We start from the raw sequence: 16,215 nt of genomic DNA on the forward strand, positions 1-16,215 counted from the left end.
TCTTTCCCAACCCTTGACCCCTGCATAATTTCCTTTCCAAATGTTACAAAAGGAAGGACTTATCTCTCACCTATTCTAAATCTTACTGTGGCACATTTCATCCTCCTCTCCTATTATCAATAATTCATGCCTCCTGGAGCAGAATCACATGAGACCATATTTCTCTAAGTCTCTTGTTTAGCACTGGCCAAATACCTTAGGTTTTGTAGTTAATTTTCTAACAGAAGATTTCATTGTACATTTAAAATCAGAATATATATATATGTATATGCAGATAAAGATCAAGATCACATAATAAGAACAGAACCGATAATAAACCTTCTATCAATCTAGCAATAAGTAGAACACAGCCATGGTTCACACTGCACAGTGATTTTCATTGCATCCCCAAAAGCAATCTAGGTAACAATGCACTAAACCTTAGAAAACCAGTTTCCTTTATTTAAGATTAATTACTCCTGTTCAGAGAATGATATACACTGATTCTATTAGATGCATAATAAGAAACAACCATTTTCAATTGTGAAAGAAATTCTAATCAATATAGATATAAAATTCTCAAAAATATTTATTTCTGTTGCTCTGTCAAGATTTTTGAAGCTGCTTAGAGACCAGCCGGATTAAAAATTTTTAATTTGGCAAAGATAAATAAATCTTTGCTCAGCTTATCAAAGAAAATTCTGCAATAGACAATGCCCAATTTAATTTTTTTAGGCTGATATAATCTACTTGTAGCTTCAAAAACCAGGTGACTGTAAGAGATAAACAGATACGGTTACTAATCCTTTTTTCAATCTAGATAAAATTGTAAGGTATATATCTCAGAAATTGGCAAAATGAAAGATTCTAATAACTAACATATTCTTCTGTAAAAATTTTGATTGTTTTCAACAAACTTGAAAGAAAACCAACTTATCAATTGACAGTAATTTTTGATATTGCAACACAATTTGAATTTTGACATGTAACTACAGAGGGTTCAAATAACCAAGCGACATTACTGTAGTAAAATGCCTTCCTTCAACAACATCTTCATGTAAACATATTTCCTAGTGCTTACCTCTATAAAACAATAACAGAACTGATAATAAACCTTGTATCAATCTAGCAATAAGCAGAGCACAGCCATGGTTCAATATTGCACAGTGACCTTCATAGAGACAAGATAAAACTAGGGTTTCTGTAAGTGAAAACTGCCTTTCCAGATCAGGTGCTAATAGATTTCAAGAAAGAAACACGGGCCCATGAACAAGACAGTGCTTCAAAAGACACTGTCTATGTATGTCTTTCTTCCCATTCTGGTCAGCTTGCCTTAGTGGCTCAGCAACAATATGAAATGTTGGGTCAGTGCAGTGGGCTGTGATCCCAGCACTTTGGTAGGCCAAGGTGGGCAGATTATTTAAGTCCAGGAGTTTGAGACCAGCCTTGGCAACATGATGAAACCACATCTTTACACACACACACACACACACACACATTAGCCAGAAGTGGTAGTGCATGCCTGTAGTCCCAGCTACTGGGGAGGCTGAGATGGGAGGATCTCTTTAGCTCAGGAGGTAGAGGCTGCAAGTGAGCTGTGATCGTACCACCACACTCCAGCCTGGGTGACAGAGAGAGACACTGTCTCAAAAATAACACACGCACACACACACACACACACACACACAACAAAAAACAAAAAAAAAAGAAAAAGAAAAGTGCAGGGAGACATACTGCAGTTAGAGCAAGCTATTCCTGAACAAGGTGATACGGCCACCTCCACAAAATCTACTGTGCACAGAGAAGAAAAAGTGCTTAGAATGCTGGTCCTGGGGAATAGTAAATTATCCCATCGAGAGGCTTGTATAACAGTTTTTTTCTTCAGATATTTAGATATTTCTCAACACCTGGGAGTGGGTGGTACACTCAAGCCAATAATATCAATTGCTAAAAAGATTAATTCACATAAAATAACAGATCCTTCCACTACTATTTCACTAACAATTGCTTACCATCTTGTCAGGAAGATGATGATAGTAACATAGCAGGCACTTCACAAAGCACCGTAAGTGTGCTGTGAAATAACCAAGGTAGTCCCATTAAAATCAGGAACAAGGGGAGAGGAGCCAAGATGGCCAAATAGGAACAGCTCCGGTGCACAGCTCCCAGCGTGAGCGACGCAGAAGACGGGTGATTTCTGCATTTCCATCTGAGGTACCGGGTTCATCTCACTAGGGAGTGCCAGACAATGGGCGCAGGTCAGTGGGTGCGCGCACCGTGCGCAAGCCAAAGCAGGGTGAGGCATTGCCTCACTTGGGAAGCTCAAGGGGTCAGGGAGTTCCCTTTCTGAGTCAAAGAAAGGGGTGACGGACGCACCTGGAAAATCGGGTCACTCCCACCCGAATACTGCGCTCTTCCAACAGGCTTAAAAAACGGCGCGCCACAAGATTATATCCCGCACCTGGCTCGGAGGGTCCTACGCCCATGGAGTCTCGCTGATTGCTAGCACAGCAGTCTGAGATCAAACTGCAAGGCAGCAGCGAGACTGGGGGAGGGGCGCCCGCCATTGCCCAGGCTTGATTAGGTAAACAAAGCAGCTGTGAAGCTCGAACTGGGTGGAGCCCACCACAGCTCAAGAAGGCCTGCCTGCCTCTGTAGGCTCCACCTCTGGGGGCAGGGCACAGACAAACAAAAAGACAGCAGTAACCTCTGCAGACTTAAATGTCCCTGTCTGACAGCTTTGAAGAGAGCAGTGGGTCTCCCAGCACGCAGCTGGACATCTGAGAACGGGCAGACTGCCTCCTCAAGTGGGTCCCTGACCCCTGACCCCCGAGCAGCCTAACTGGGAGGCACCCCCCAGCAGGGGCACACTGACACCTCAAACGGCAGGGTACTCCAACAGACCTGCAGCTGAGGGTCCTCTCTGTTGGAAGGAAAACTAACAAACAGAAAGGACATCCACACCAAAAACCCATCTGTACATCACCATCATCAAAGACCAAAAGTAGATAAAACCACAAAGATGGGGAAAAAACAGAACAGAAAAACTGGAAACTCTAAAAAGCAGAGCGCCTCTCCTCCTCCAAAGGAACGCAGTTCCTCACCAGCAACGGAACAAAGCTGGATGGAGAATGACTTTGACGAGCTGAGAGAAGAAGGCTTCAGACGATCAAATTACTCTGAGCTACGGGAGGACATTCAAACCAAAGGCAAAGAAGTTGAAAACTCTGAAAAAATTTAGAAGAATGTATAACTAGAATAACCAATACAGAGAAGTGCTTAAAGGAGCTGATGGAGCTGAAAACCAAGGCTCGAGAACTACGTGAAGAATGCAGAAGCCTCAGGAGCCGATGCGATCAACTGGAAGAAACGGTATCAGCGATGGAAGATGAAATGAATGAAATGAAGTGAGAAGGGAAGTTTAGAGAAAAAAGAATAAAAAGAAATGAGCAAAGCCTCCAAGAAATATGGGACTATGTGAAAAGACCAAATCTACGTCTGATTGGTGTACCTGAAAGTGATGGGGAGAATGGAACCAAGTTGGAAAACACTCTGCAGGATATTATCCAGGACAACTTCCCCAGTCTAGCAAGGCAGGCCAACGTTCAGATTCAGGAAATACAGAGAACGCCACAAAGATACTCCTCGAGAAGAGCAACTCCAAGACACATAATTGTCAGATTCACCAAAGGTGAAATGAAGGAAAAAATGTTAAGGGCAGCCAGAGAGAAAGGTCGGGTTACCCTCAAAGGGAAGCCCATCAGACTAAAAGTGGATCTCTCAGCAGAAACCCTACAAGCCAGAAGAGAGTGGGGGCTAATATTCAAATTTCTTAAAGAAAAGAATTTTCAACCCAGAATTTCATATCCAGCCAAACTAAGCTTCATAAGTGAAGGAGAAATAAAATACTTTACAGACAAACAAATGCTGAGAGATTTTGTCACCACCAGGCCTGCCTTACAAGAGCTCCTGAAGGAAGCACTAAACATGGAAAGGAACGACTGGTACCAGCTGCTGCAAAATCATGGCAAAATGTAAAGACCATCGAGACTAGGAAGAAACTGCATCAACTAACGAGCAAAATAACCAGCTAACATCATAATGACAGGATCAAATTCACACATAACAATATTAACTTTAAATGTAAATGGACTAAATGCTCCAATTAAAAGACACAGACTGGCAAATTGGATAAAGAGTCAAGACCCATCAGTGTGCAGTATTCGGGAGACCCATCTCACGTGCAGAGACACACATAGGCTCAAAATAAAAGGATGGAGGAAGATCTACCAAGCAAATGGAAAACAAAAAAAGGCAGGGGTTGCAATCCTAGTCTCTGATAAAACAGACTTTAAACCAACAAAGATCAAAAGAGACAAAGAAGGCCATTACATAATGGTAAAGGGATCAATTCAACAAGAAGAGCTAACTATCCTAAATATATGTGCACCCAATACAGGAGCACCAAGATTCATAAAGCAAGTCCTGAGTGACCTACAAAGAGATTTAGACTCCCACACATTAATAATGGGAGACTTTAACACCCCACTGTCAACATTAGACAGATCAACGAGACAGAAAGTCAACAAGGATACCCAGGAACTGAACTCAGCTCTGCACCAAGCGGACCTAATAGACATCTACAGAACCCTCCACCCCAAATCAACAGAATATACATTTTTTTCAGCACCACACCACACCTATTCCTAAATTGACCACATACTGGGAAGTAAAGCTCTCCTCAGCAAATGGAAAAGAACAGAAATTATAACAAACTATCTCTCAGACCACAGTGCAATCAAACTAGAACTCAGGATTAAGAATCTCACTCAAAACCGCTCAACTACATGGAAACTGAACAACCTGCTCCTGAATGACTACTGGGTACATAACGAAATGAAGGCAGAAATAAAGATGTTCTTTGAAACCAACGAGAACAAAGACACAACATACCAGAATCTCTGGGACGCATTCAAAGCAGTGTGTAGAGGGAAATTTATAGCACTAAATGCCCACAAGAGAAAGCAGGAAAGATCCAAAATTGACACCCTAACATCACAATTAAAAGAACTAGAAAAGCAAGAGCAAACACATTCAAAAGCTAGCAGAAGGCAAGAAATAACTAAAATCAGAGCAGAACTGAAGGAAATAGAGACACAAAAAACCCTTCAAAAAATTAATGAATCCAGGAGCTGGTTTTTTGAAAGGATCAACAAAATTGATAGACCACTAGCAAGACTAATAAAGAAAAAAAGAGAGAAGAATCAAATAGATGCAATAAAAAATGATAAAGGGGATGTCACCACCGATCCCACAGAAACACAAACTACCATCAGAGAATACTACAAACACCTCTACGCAAATAAACTAGAAAATCTAGAAGAAATGGATAAATTCCTGGACACATACACTCTCCCAAGACTAAACAAGGAAGAAGTTGAATCTCTGAATAGACCAATAACAGGAGCTGAAATTGTGGCAATAATCAATAGCTTACCAACAAAAAAAGAGTCCAGGACCAGATGGATTCACAGCTGAATTCTACCAGAGGTACAAGGAGGAACTGGTACCATTCCTTCTGAAACTATTCCAATCAATAGAAAAAGACGGAATCCTCCCTAACTCATTTTATGAGGCCAGCATCATTCTGATACCAAAGCCAGGCAGAGACACAACAAAAAAAGAGATTCTTAGACCAATATCCTTGATGAACATTGATGCAAAAATCCTCAATAAAATACTGGCAAAACGAATCCAGCAGCACATCAAAAAGCTTATCCACCATGATCAAGTGGGCTTCATCCCTGGGATGCAAGGCTGGTTCAATATACGCAAATCAATAAATGTAATCCACATATAAACAGAGCCAAAGACAAAAACCACATGATTATCTCAATAGATGCAGAAAAGGCCTTTGACAAAATTCAACAACCCTTCATGCTAAAAACTCTCAATAAATTAGGTATTGATGGGATGTATTTCAAAATAATAAGAGCTATCTATGACAAACCCACAGCCAATGTCATACTGAATGGACAAAAACTGGAAGCATTCCCTTTGAAAACTGGCACAAGACAGGGATGCCCTCTCTCACCACTCCTATTCAACAGAGTGTTGGAAGTTCTGGCCAGGGCAATTAGGCAGGAGAAGGAAATAAAGGGTATTCAATTAGGAAAAGAGGAAGTCAAATTGTCCCTGTTTGCAGATGACATGATTGTATATCTAGAAAACCCCATCATCTCAGCCCAAAATCTCCTTAAGCTGATAAGCAACTTCAGCAAAGTCTCAGGATACAAAATCAATGTACAAAAATCACAAGCATTCTTATACACCAACAACAGACAAACAGAGAGCCAAATCATGAGTGAACTCCCATTCACAATTGCTTCAAAGAGAATAAAATACCTAGGAATCCAACTTACAAGGGATGTGAAGGACCTCTTCAAGGAGAACTACAAACCACTGCTCAAGGAAATAAAAGAGGATACAAACAAATGGAAGAACATTCCATGCTCATGGGTAGGAAGAATCAATATCGTGAAAATGGCCATACTGCCCAAGGTAATTTACAGATTCAATGCCATCCCCATCAAGCTACCAATGACTTTCTTCACAGAATTGGAAAAAACTACTTTAAAGTTCATATGGAACCAAAAAAGAGCCCGCATCGCCAAGTCAATCCTAAGCCAAAAGAACAAAGCTGGAGGCATCACACTACCTGACTTCAAACTATACTACAAGGCTACAGTAACCAAAACAGCATGGTACTGGTACCAAAACAGAGATATAGATCAATGGAACAAAACAGAGCCCTCAGAAATAACGCCACATATCTACAACTATCTGATCTTTGACAAACCTGAGGAAAACAAGCAATGGGGAAAGGATTCCCTATTTAATAAATGGTGCTGGGAAAACTGGCTAGCCATATGTAGAAAGCTGAAACTGGATCCCTTCCTTACACCTTATACAAAAATCAATTCAAGATGGATTAAAGACTTAAACGTTAGACCTAAAACCATAAAAACCCTAGAAGAAAAGCTAGGCATTACCATTCAGGACATAGGCATTGGCAAGGACTTCATGTCTAAAACACCAAAAGCAATGGCAACAAAAGACAAAATTGACAAATGGGATCTAATTAAACTAAAGAGCTTCTGCACAGCGAAAGAAACTACCATCAGAGTGAACAGGCAACCTACAAAATGGGAGGAAATTTTCGCAACCTACTCATCTGACAAAGGGCTAATATCCAGAATCTACAATGGGCTCAAACAAATTTACAAGAAAAAAACAAACAACCCCATCAAAAAGTGGGCGAAGGACATGAACAGACACTTCTCAAAAGAAGACATTTATGCAGCTAAAAAACACGTGAAAAAATGCTCATCATCACTGGCCATCAGAGAAATGCAAATCAAAACCACAATGAGATACCATCTCACACCAGTTAGAATGGCAATCATTAAAAAGTCAGGAAGCAACAGATGCTGGAGAGGATGTGGAGAAATAGGAACACTTTTACACTGTTGGTGGGACTGTAAACTAGTTCAACCATTGTGGAAGTCAGTGTGGCGATTCCTCAGGGATCTAGAACTAGAAATACCATTTGACCCAGCCATCCCATTACTGGGTATATACCCAAACGACTATAAATCATGCTGCTATAAAGACACATGCACATGTATGTTTATTGCGGCTCTATTCACAATAGCAAAGACTTGGAACCAACCCAAATGTCCAACAATGATAGACTGGATTAAGAAAATGTGGCACATATACACCATGGAATACTATGCAGCCATAAAAAATGATGAGTTCATGTCCTTTGTAGGGACATGGATGAAATTGGAAATCATCATTCTCAGTAAACTATCGCAAGAACAAAAAACCAAACACCGTATATTCTCACTCATAGGTGGGAATTGAACAATGAGATCACATGGACACAGGAAGGGGAATATCACACTCTGGGGACTGTTGTGGGGTGGGGGGAGGGGGGAGGGATAGCATCGGGAGATATACCTAATGCTAGATGACAAGTTAGTGGGTGCAGCTCACCAGCATGGCACATGTATACATATGTAACTAACCTGCACAATGTGCACATGTACCCTAAAACTTAAAGTATAATAATAAAAAAAAAGACAAAAAAAAAATCAGGAACAAATAAAGGTTCCCAGCTAATATCATTATTATTCATCACTGTTGTGGTATTTCTTGCATTAGCTAATACAAGAAAATGAGAAAATGAAAATAATACATAAATACAGTAAATTAAAAACAAAATATATTTAATTATAGACAATTACTAATACTTGTAAATCACAAAAAAGTTCCTATATTGTAATTAATAAAAGAATTTGATACAGCAACATGATACAAAATATATAAAACCAAAGGCTTTTCTTTATGCTGGCAGTATAATACAAAAATTAAAATAAAAATAAAATATCATTCACAATAACAATCGAACAATAAAGTACCCCAGAAAACTTTAACAAAAATGTGCAACTGTATGAAGAAGAATACAAAATTTTATATTGAAGGTCATCTTGCATGAATTAAGAAAAATTATCATGCTTACTGGACCAAAAAACCTCCATAATATTATTAAAACCTTTATCTTTCCTAAATAAGTATAAATATGTAATGCAATTTTAATCATAATTTTATTGAGATACTAATTTTTATTTGGATTTTCCTTTATAATTTTAAATGATTTTTAATTTTAATCATTTTATATTTTGTTTATTTCTACTTTTTTGTTTGACTTAAAATTTTATATGGAAGAATAAATATGTAAGATTTACCTAAAAATATTGAAAAAGATGATCGGTACCTGACATAGGATACTAAAGCCTTCTGTGATATTAATTGGATTACAATAACATGTTATGACCACAAAAAATGTACTAGTTACTGTACAAAACTGAGTTTATAACTGTATCCAATATAAATATAAATGAAAATGTATTATATGATAAACACTTCAGCAGAAATATACATATACATAATAAATATATAATAGCTCAGCAGAGAAAGTATAGCTTCTTTAGTAAATGATTTTATAATTATAATTAGATCTTCATTCAGCAAGAAAATAGTAATATTCCTGCATAATCCATGTTTAAAGATGAAAAAGAGCAATGGATTAGGGATTTTAATGTTAAAATAAAATGTAAAAATTATGTGAAAAATAAGAGTAATGTTAGGTTAAAGAAAAACTTTTTTAAAAAAGACAAAAAAAAAAAACCAAGAAACTATAATGGAAAAAAATTGTGGAGTCTACTTCTTTAATAGTACAGATTTATACAAAGGCAAAAAGTACCATAAATAAGTTTTTAAAAAATAGAGAACATGTTTGAAACGTATATGAGAGGTGAGCTTTATAACCCTAATGTAAAATAGAGAACTTCTGCAAATTGAAAAGAAAAAGCAAACATGGGTAAATTGTATGAACTGGGGTTTATAAGAGAGGAAAATGCAAATAGACAAAAATTATTATAATCTTTTTATAAAAGATGCTAAATCTCACTGGTATTTAAGGAAATGCGATTGAAAAGTAGCACAATACCCTTATTTTTGCATACAGTTAATTAAAAATTTTTTGAAAGATTTATCACATACAATGGAATGGGGTGGAGAAGTGATGGGATTGCATATTGCAGTACACAATGTTTCTGGCATTCCACTTTTGGAAATCCATTCTGCAGAAATAGATATTCTTATCTAAGGATTTAGGGACTAACCATGATTTAGATATACATGCTGACCTAGAGGGATGTCCATAGTTCATAGTTAAATGATTACAGCAACAAGTCCACATATGTAGGTAATGATGATCCTGTATTTGTGACTAAGGGTTGTGGGGGAGCATATGTGTATAATTACATAAATCATGTATGTTTTACATGAGCATAGAAAGAAATGTAAAAAGATACGCCCAAAATTGACTTTTTTATATACTCTTCTGTTACTTAGCTTTGAAAAAATAATGTTCTCATTTTTGAATTTTAAAAGAAAACTCCAGTAGAATGTGTATATGTGAGTGTTAAGTGTGTAGATATGTATGTTATAGACAACTAATGTTCTGAGATTTCCAGAGAGAGAGAGACATGTGAAGAACACGGGGCTTGATCAGAATTTGAACGATGGTTGTGGAAGAACTGGATAAACAAAAAGGGACTTTCCAGGCCAATGACAAGGCAGGAGGAAAACAACATTATCCGGAATCATTTAAATGTACTTCTAACGCTCCAAGCCACTTGTAACTACATATTTGAAAACTCAAAATGTAAATCTGTATCTGTGCATGCATAAACAAACAATATTATTACTACCGCACAAAACAAATCCTGCATTAAATACAATTGTCATTGCTGTCAGGAATGTATAAACAAGATAATTAGAAAACCCAAAGAATCTTATACTTATAACTAAGCATTAAATCTCCTTATATTTTTCCAAGTACAAATGACTAAATTGCAACCCACAACAACCCAAATAAATGAAGGACTTTTACCTTAGCATTCACCAACATCACCATTCATTTTTGCTTCCATACTGTAAGACCAACAGATTTTTTAAAAAATTACATATTGAGTAGCCAGTATGAATAAGGCACCTCAAACGTGTAAGCTGCAGCTTCTTGTTCATCAGAGAAGCAGAGTTGTAAATAAAAGAATCTTTGTTTATGTAAGTTTTAAACCTTTGGTTAAGTTTCTTTGGCTCTGATGGTTGCATAAAGCAGGTTATAATCTTGGGAACAGGTTCTAAGATTACTGTACTCACTTGGAACCAGAGGCTCCTCCTTGCTTTTTTTTTTTTTTTTTTTTTTTGGTGGTTGTTTTTTCAAACAGTTAACTCTTACGTGGCTTTGGCTCCAATACCCTGTTGAAAAACCTCAGTTAATGGCACTAAACTTTGCTGAGCCTCAATTTTCTCAGATTTTTTCTTTCGTGATTAAGGCACCTTTAACAAGTGTCTTGTAAATCAAATATAATATGTTAATGTACTCATTGAGTAAACTGACACACATATATTTGAGCATGAGTTCAACTTTCAGTGTAGCTGGATATCTAAGAAAAAATGACACCAAAACGGGAATAAGCTTGAAAACAGAGTTGATGCGGACAAGGATATTCATTTCTATGGGATGCCACTGACATTTTTGAACAGTAGACTGAGATGCGAAAACCAGTGTCTACAGATTATTGTATCAGTAACTTTCTAGCTGGATGGGATGAGTAAAAGATTAGGGGCTATGTAAAGTAATTAGGTGGTCATATCCAGGTGTAATTTGTAATGGAGTGGATAAGATAGTTGGATTTATTTATTTTATTTTATTTTATTTTCTATTCCAGGATACATGTGCAGGGCATGCAGGTTTGTTACATAGGTAAAAATGTGCCATGATGATTTGCTGCACCTATCAACCCGTCACCTAGGTATTAAGCCCCACGTGCATTAGCTATTTATCCTGATGCTCTCCCTCCCTGCTCCCTGACAGGCTCAAGTTTGTGTTGGTCCCCTCCCTGTGTCCATGTATTCTCATTGTTCAGCTCCCACTATTAGTGAGAAACATGTGGTGTTTAGTTTTCTGTTCCTGCATTAGTTTGCTGAGGATAATGGCTTCCAGCTCCATCCATGTCCCTGCAAAGGACATGATCTCATTCCTTTTCATGGCTGTGTAGTATTACATGGTGTATATATACCACATTTTCTTTATCCAGTCTATCACTGATGGGCATTTGGGTTGATTCCATGTCTTTGCTATTGTGAATAGTGCTGCAATGAACACACACATGCATATATCTTTATAACAGAATGATTTATGTTTGTTTGGATATATACCCACTAAAGGGATTGCTGGCTCAAATAGTATTTCTGGTTCTAGATCTTTGAGGAATTATCACCGTGTCTTCTACAATAATTGAACCAATTTACATTCCCACCAACAGTGTAAAAGCATTCCTATTTGTCCACAACCTCTCCAGCATCTGTTGTTTCTTGACTTTTTAATAATCACCATTATGACTGGCATGAGATGATATCTCAATGTGGTTTTGATTTGCATTTCTCTAATGATCAGCGATGTTGAACTTTTTAAAATGTTTGTTGGCCGCATAAACATCTTCTTTCGAGAAGTGTCTGTTCATGTCCTTGGGTCACTTTTTAATGGCTTTTTTTTTTTTGTAAATTTAAGTTCCTTGTAGAGTCTGGATATTAGACCTTTGTAAGATGCATAGATTGCAAAAATTTTCTCCCATTCTGTAGGTTGTCTGTTCACTCGGATGATAGTTTCTTTTGCTGTGCAGAAGCTCTTTAGTTTAATTAGATCTCATTTGTCAATTTTTGCTTTTGTTGCAATTTCTTATGACATTTTAATCATGAAATCTTTACCCTTGCCTATCTCCTGAATAATATTGCCTAGATTTTCCCCTAGGGTTTTTATAGTTTTGGGTTTTACATTTGAGTCTTAAACTATCATTAACATTTTTCACAGAATTTGAAAAAAAACTACTTCAAAATTCATATGGAACCAAAAAGACAAGTATAGACACATATAGCCAAGATAATCCTAAGCAAAAAGAACAAAGCTTCAGGCATCATGATACCCAAACTTCAAACTATGCTACAAGGCTACAGTAACCAAAACAGCATGGTACTGGTACAAAAACAGACACATCGACCAAGGAACAGAAAAGAGATCTCAGAAACAAGACCGCACATCTACAACCATCTGACCTTTGACAAACCTGAAATGATTTCCTATTTAATAAATGGTGCTGGGAGAACTGGCTAGCCATATGCAGAAAATTGAAACTGGACCCCTTCCTTACACCTTATACAAAAATTAACTCCAGATGGACTAAAGACTTAAGTGGATTGATATTTTAAAGGGAGAAACAAGATGCAATGCTATGGAATGTTTAAAAGCACTAGCTGAACCCAGCACTAGCATGAGTAGCTGTTACCTTGGACAAGTTAATTAACCTCATTTTTAAACATATACCACAGGATAATCATAGCACCTACCTCAAAGAGTTGCTGATGTTGTTATTTCATTCAAGAAATATTTATTGAGCACCTACTCCATGCCAAATATTTCTAGGTCCTAGAGATATTGTTATAAGCAAAAGAGTCTAAATTACTACTCATGGATTTTGTCTGGTTGAAGGAAGAAAGAAAATAAGTCAACAATTAAGATTAAGAGGGAATCCTTTTCTTTTGCTAGGTTGAATGAGTAGATATATTTAAAATGTGTGTGTGTCTGTGTGTCTGTGTGTCTGTGTGTGTGTGTATGCGTGCATGCACGCGCAACACTTGGTAACCAAGTCAGAACATTTTTTTCTAAAATCCCTTTTAGAATTTCTCAGATGTTACTTGTACTGCTTCTCAGTTGCTGATGATGAGACTTCTTTCACTATTTCCAACTATTTAAGTAGTTTGAAGGACAGACAGAAAAACATCTGCCAGTAGTGAAGCTCTATGGACAAAACCTGGGAATGGCTTCAAAAGTAAGGGGAGGAGCCCTGATCACTCCTGCCACCTCATCTGGAGTGGAAATGGAAATTTCAATCTTTCATTTCTCTTGAGAAGCTTCAAGCGGCAGGATTGTTTTCTATTCTCTGGTAAAAATTAGAGTTAACAGTTGTTGAATATTTATGATGTGCCACAGGTCATTCTAGGAACACAGGGCTGTTAACTAATGTAATCCTCTCAACAAATGTTTAAGATAAGTACTATTGTTATCCCACTTTTACAGATAGGACACAGGTACAGATAGGCTTTATCATCCCCAAGATTTCACAGCTGGTAAGCAGAAGAATGGGGATTCAGTCAGCTTCAGACCACTACACTATACTGCCTCTCAGTAGTTGATATTAGGTTAGCAAATAGATGTGAAAGAGACTTAAAATAATTTTGGAGACAGATGCATGTTCTTTCTCTTTCTTTTGTTGAAATATGTATAAACTGTTAGAATGTTCAAAGCAGTGAAGAACCAAACCACAGAAAACATATGGTAGTTTATATATCCCATCTTTTCTCAAAAGAAAACATAGACACATTGCGTATGTTCAAAAGCACCCTGGCCCCATGCCTGGCTCCCACCCATACCTACCTCCTTGTTTCACTTTTTCATCTTCTGTCAAGATCATCCAAGGCTTTTACGAAACAATTTAACAAAATAATTTCAGGAAGGCAAAAGTGCTCTGAAGAAAATCAAACAGAATGATGGGCTTGGGAGTGGACTGGAAAGATCCTTGATGAAATAATGCTTGAAATGAAATTCAAAGCATAAGAAGGAAAAAATACGTGAATATCTAGAGACAGAGCCCTTCAAGCGTGGGGATCAGCAAATGCAAAAGCCTTAGGATGGAAGGAAACAAGCTTGGCATATTTGATAAGAAGGTTGGTGTAGTTGGAGAAAGAGAGTTATCCTCACCGAGGGGAAAGAGGAACAAGATGCAGTTGGAGCGTTGAGCAGAGGCCAGGTCATGTACTGCACTATGCCCAGCAAGGAGTTAGGATTATATTCTATTGGAAATGGGAATCCATAGGAGGGTGTGAAGCAGAAAAATTACTTGATCAAATTTGTGTTTTCAAAAGGCCTATTTGGGCCAGGTGCAGTGGCATATGCCTATAATCCAAGCACTTTGGGAGGCCAAGGCAGACGAATCACTTGAGCTCAGGAGTTCAAGACTAGCCTGAGCAACATGGCGAAATCCTGTGTCTACAAAAAACACAAAAATTAGCCAGGCATGGTAGTGAGTGCCTGTAGTCCCAGCTACTCCCTACTCAGGAGGCTGAGCTGGAGGATCACTTGAGCCTGGGAAGTCAAGACTGCAGTGAGCCAAGATTGTGCTACTGTACCCCAACCTGGGTGACAGAGACCCTGTCTAATGAAAATAAAAATAAATGAAAAAAAAAAAAAAAAGCCTTTGGCTGCTCTGTGGAGACAGGACTGGCCAGGGGAAGGAAGAGTAGAGCCAAATCGCTACTGCAAAAGCCCAGGCAAGATATGGTCAATGGGTATAAGTTTGGTGCAACTGACAGTAAAAATCTGCACACATTCAGAACATATTTGGGAGAGAGCCTGAAAGGTTTACTGACTGAGCTTTTCTGGAAGTCTTTCTATAGGGGGAATGTTTAGAAAATTCTGTGGCAACTCCTCAGATAAGGAGTTGTTAAGGCACCAAACTATTTTCCCTAGTACCTTAGTTACTCTGGTAAATTTTTACACAAAATAATGTTCCTGTGACTTAGATGGGCCTGTCCAAAATACACAAAAATGCCTGTTTTATATGACAAACGAATTTATTAACCATGCATAAAGTGTTTCTAAAACACTGATAATGTCCCTTAGTCATAAAAACACATTCTTTCCTTGCTTCTTTGTGTCTATCAACCTCCCTCTTTTTTTTAATCAGAAACAATACTCTTCTTTGAATAAATATCTACCCAAGGTCATCATTCCTCCCTCAGCAACAGTGAAACATAGAGTCCTTTAAGTTGTCACTGTTGACCCTCACTCTACTCCCAATATTCAATGCGATTTCTTAACTTTCAGTACTACTTTACCACACATAATGTTGTACTTAAAGACCTGTGCTCATACTCCTCTTCAATTTGCCAGTGAGTCTACCAGAAATCCGCAACTGCCCAACGAAAAGTGTCCCAGTCCCCTTCTCTGTTGATGAAACTCAGTATCATGTTGAAGATACTAGTCCTGTAAGCTGGCAAGTAAAAGTTCTAGGCAAGCATATACATCAGGGAAGCAGCTATGAAGATGTTTGGCTGCCTCAGCGCATGCGTGTGTGTGTGTGTGTGTGTGTGTGTGTGTGTGTGTACGTGCTCCCGCACACACGCACTTATAGATAAGACAGAGAATAGTCACGGCAAAAAGTGAGCTTGTTGTCCATCCTAACAAATAGGATGGAGAAACTTATGTCCAAAGACCACCAAACATCCCCAACGCTCTTCTAAAACAACTTCCAAATAACTGGTAGAATAAAACTTTTTAAAGGCTGGTAGAATAAAACTTTCAAATTGTGCCAAACTTATAAAAAGGCGGCAGAGGTAGACAGAGTTTGTGGATCACCCTCAGAAAGGTATCCTGGGTTCTAAAAGCAACCAAGTTTTAGTTCCCAAAGAAAACTGAGAATCTTCTTTTCAAATTCTGTTACTGTTTGCTTCTCATCTCAAATTCGTAACTCTGGAGATAGTGTC

The 16,215-nt window shown here is 38.0% G+C and overlaps 1 protein-coding gene across 6 annotated transcripts in view, besides 2 other annotated features; it reads right to left on the reverse strand.

Moving 5' to 3' along the window:
* The window catches only part of SLCO1A2 (solute carrier organic anion transporter family member 1A2), a 155,035-nt gene that overhangs the window by 128,315 nt on the left and 10,505 nt on the right, over positions 1-16,215 (reverse strand). For 3 of the 6 annotated variants that reach the window (XM_011520819.2, NM_001386878.1, XM_024449138.2), the window contains exon 1: positions 10,505-10,737. The exons of 1 other annotated variant lie outside the window; for it this stretch is intronic. The gene's annotated coding sequence lies outside the window, so the exon portion shown is untranslated. Of the gene's footprint in view, positions 1-1,991; positions 2,592-10,504; positions 10,738-16,215 lie in introns of those variants that run through there. 2 more of the 6 variants (NM_001386937.1, NM_134431.5) reach the window with 1 other exon arrangement.
* Positions 1,149-2,082: an enhancer, noted in NCBI's record as "H3K27ac-H3K4me1 hESC enhancer chr12:21546997-21547930 (GRCh37/hg19 assembly coordinates)". NCBI's record gives its function as "activates a minimal SCP1, AML or CMV promoter by ChIP-STARR-seq in naive H9 embryonic stem cells {active_cell/tissue: H9 hESC(naive)}" and the evidence as "EXISTENCE:reporter gene assay evidence [ECO:0000049][PMID:30033119]".
* Positions 2,083-3,014: an enhancer, noted in NCBI's record as "OCT4-NANOG-H3K27ac-H3K4me1 hESC enhancer chr12:21547931-21548862 (GRCh37/hg19 assembly coordinates)". NCBI's record gives its function as "activates a minimal SCP1, AML or CMV promoter by ChIP-STARR-seq in naive and primed H9 embryonic stem cells {active_cell/tissue: H9 hESC(naive and primed)}" and the evidence as "EXISTENCE:reporter gene assay evidence [ECO:0000049][PMID:30033119]".

This window comes from Homo sapiens, chromosome 12 (assembly GCF_000001405.40).
Source record: "Homo sapiens chromosome 12, GRCh38.p14 Primary Assembly".
NCBI lineage: Eukaryota > Metazoa > Chordata > Mammalia > Primates > Hominidae > Homo > Homo sapiens.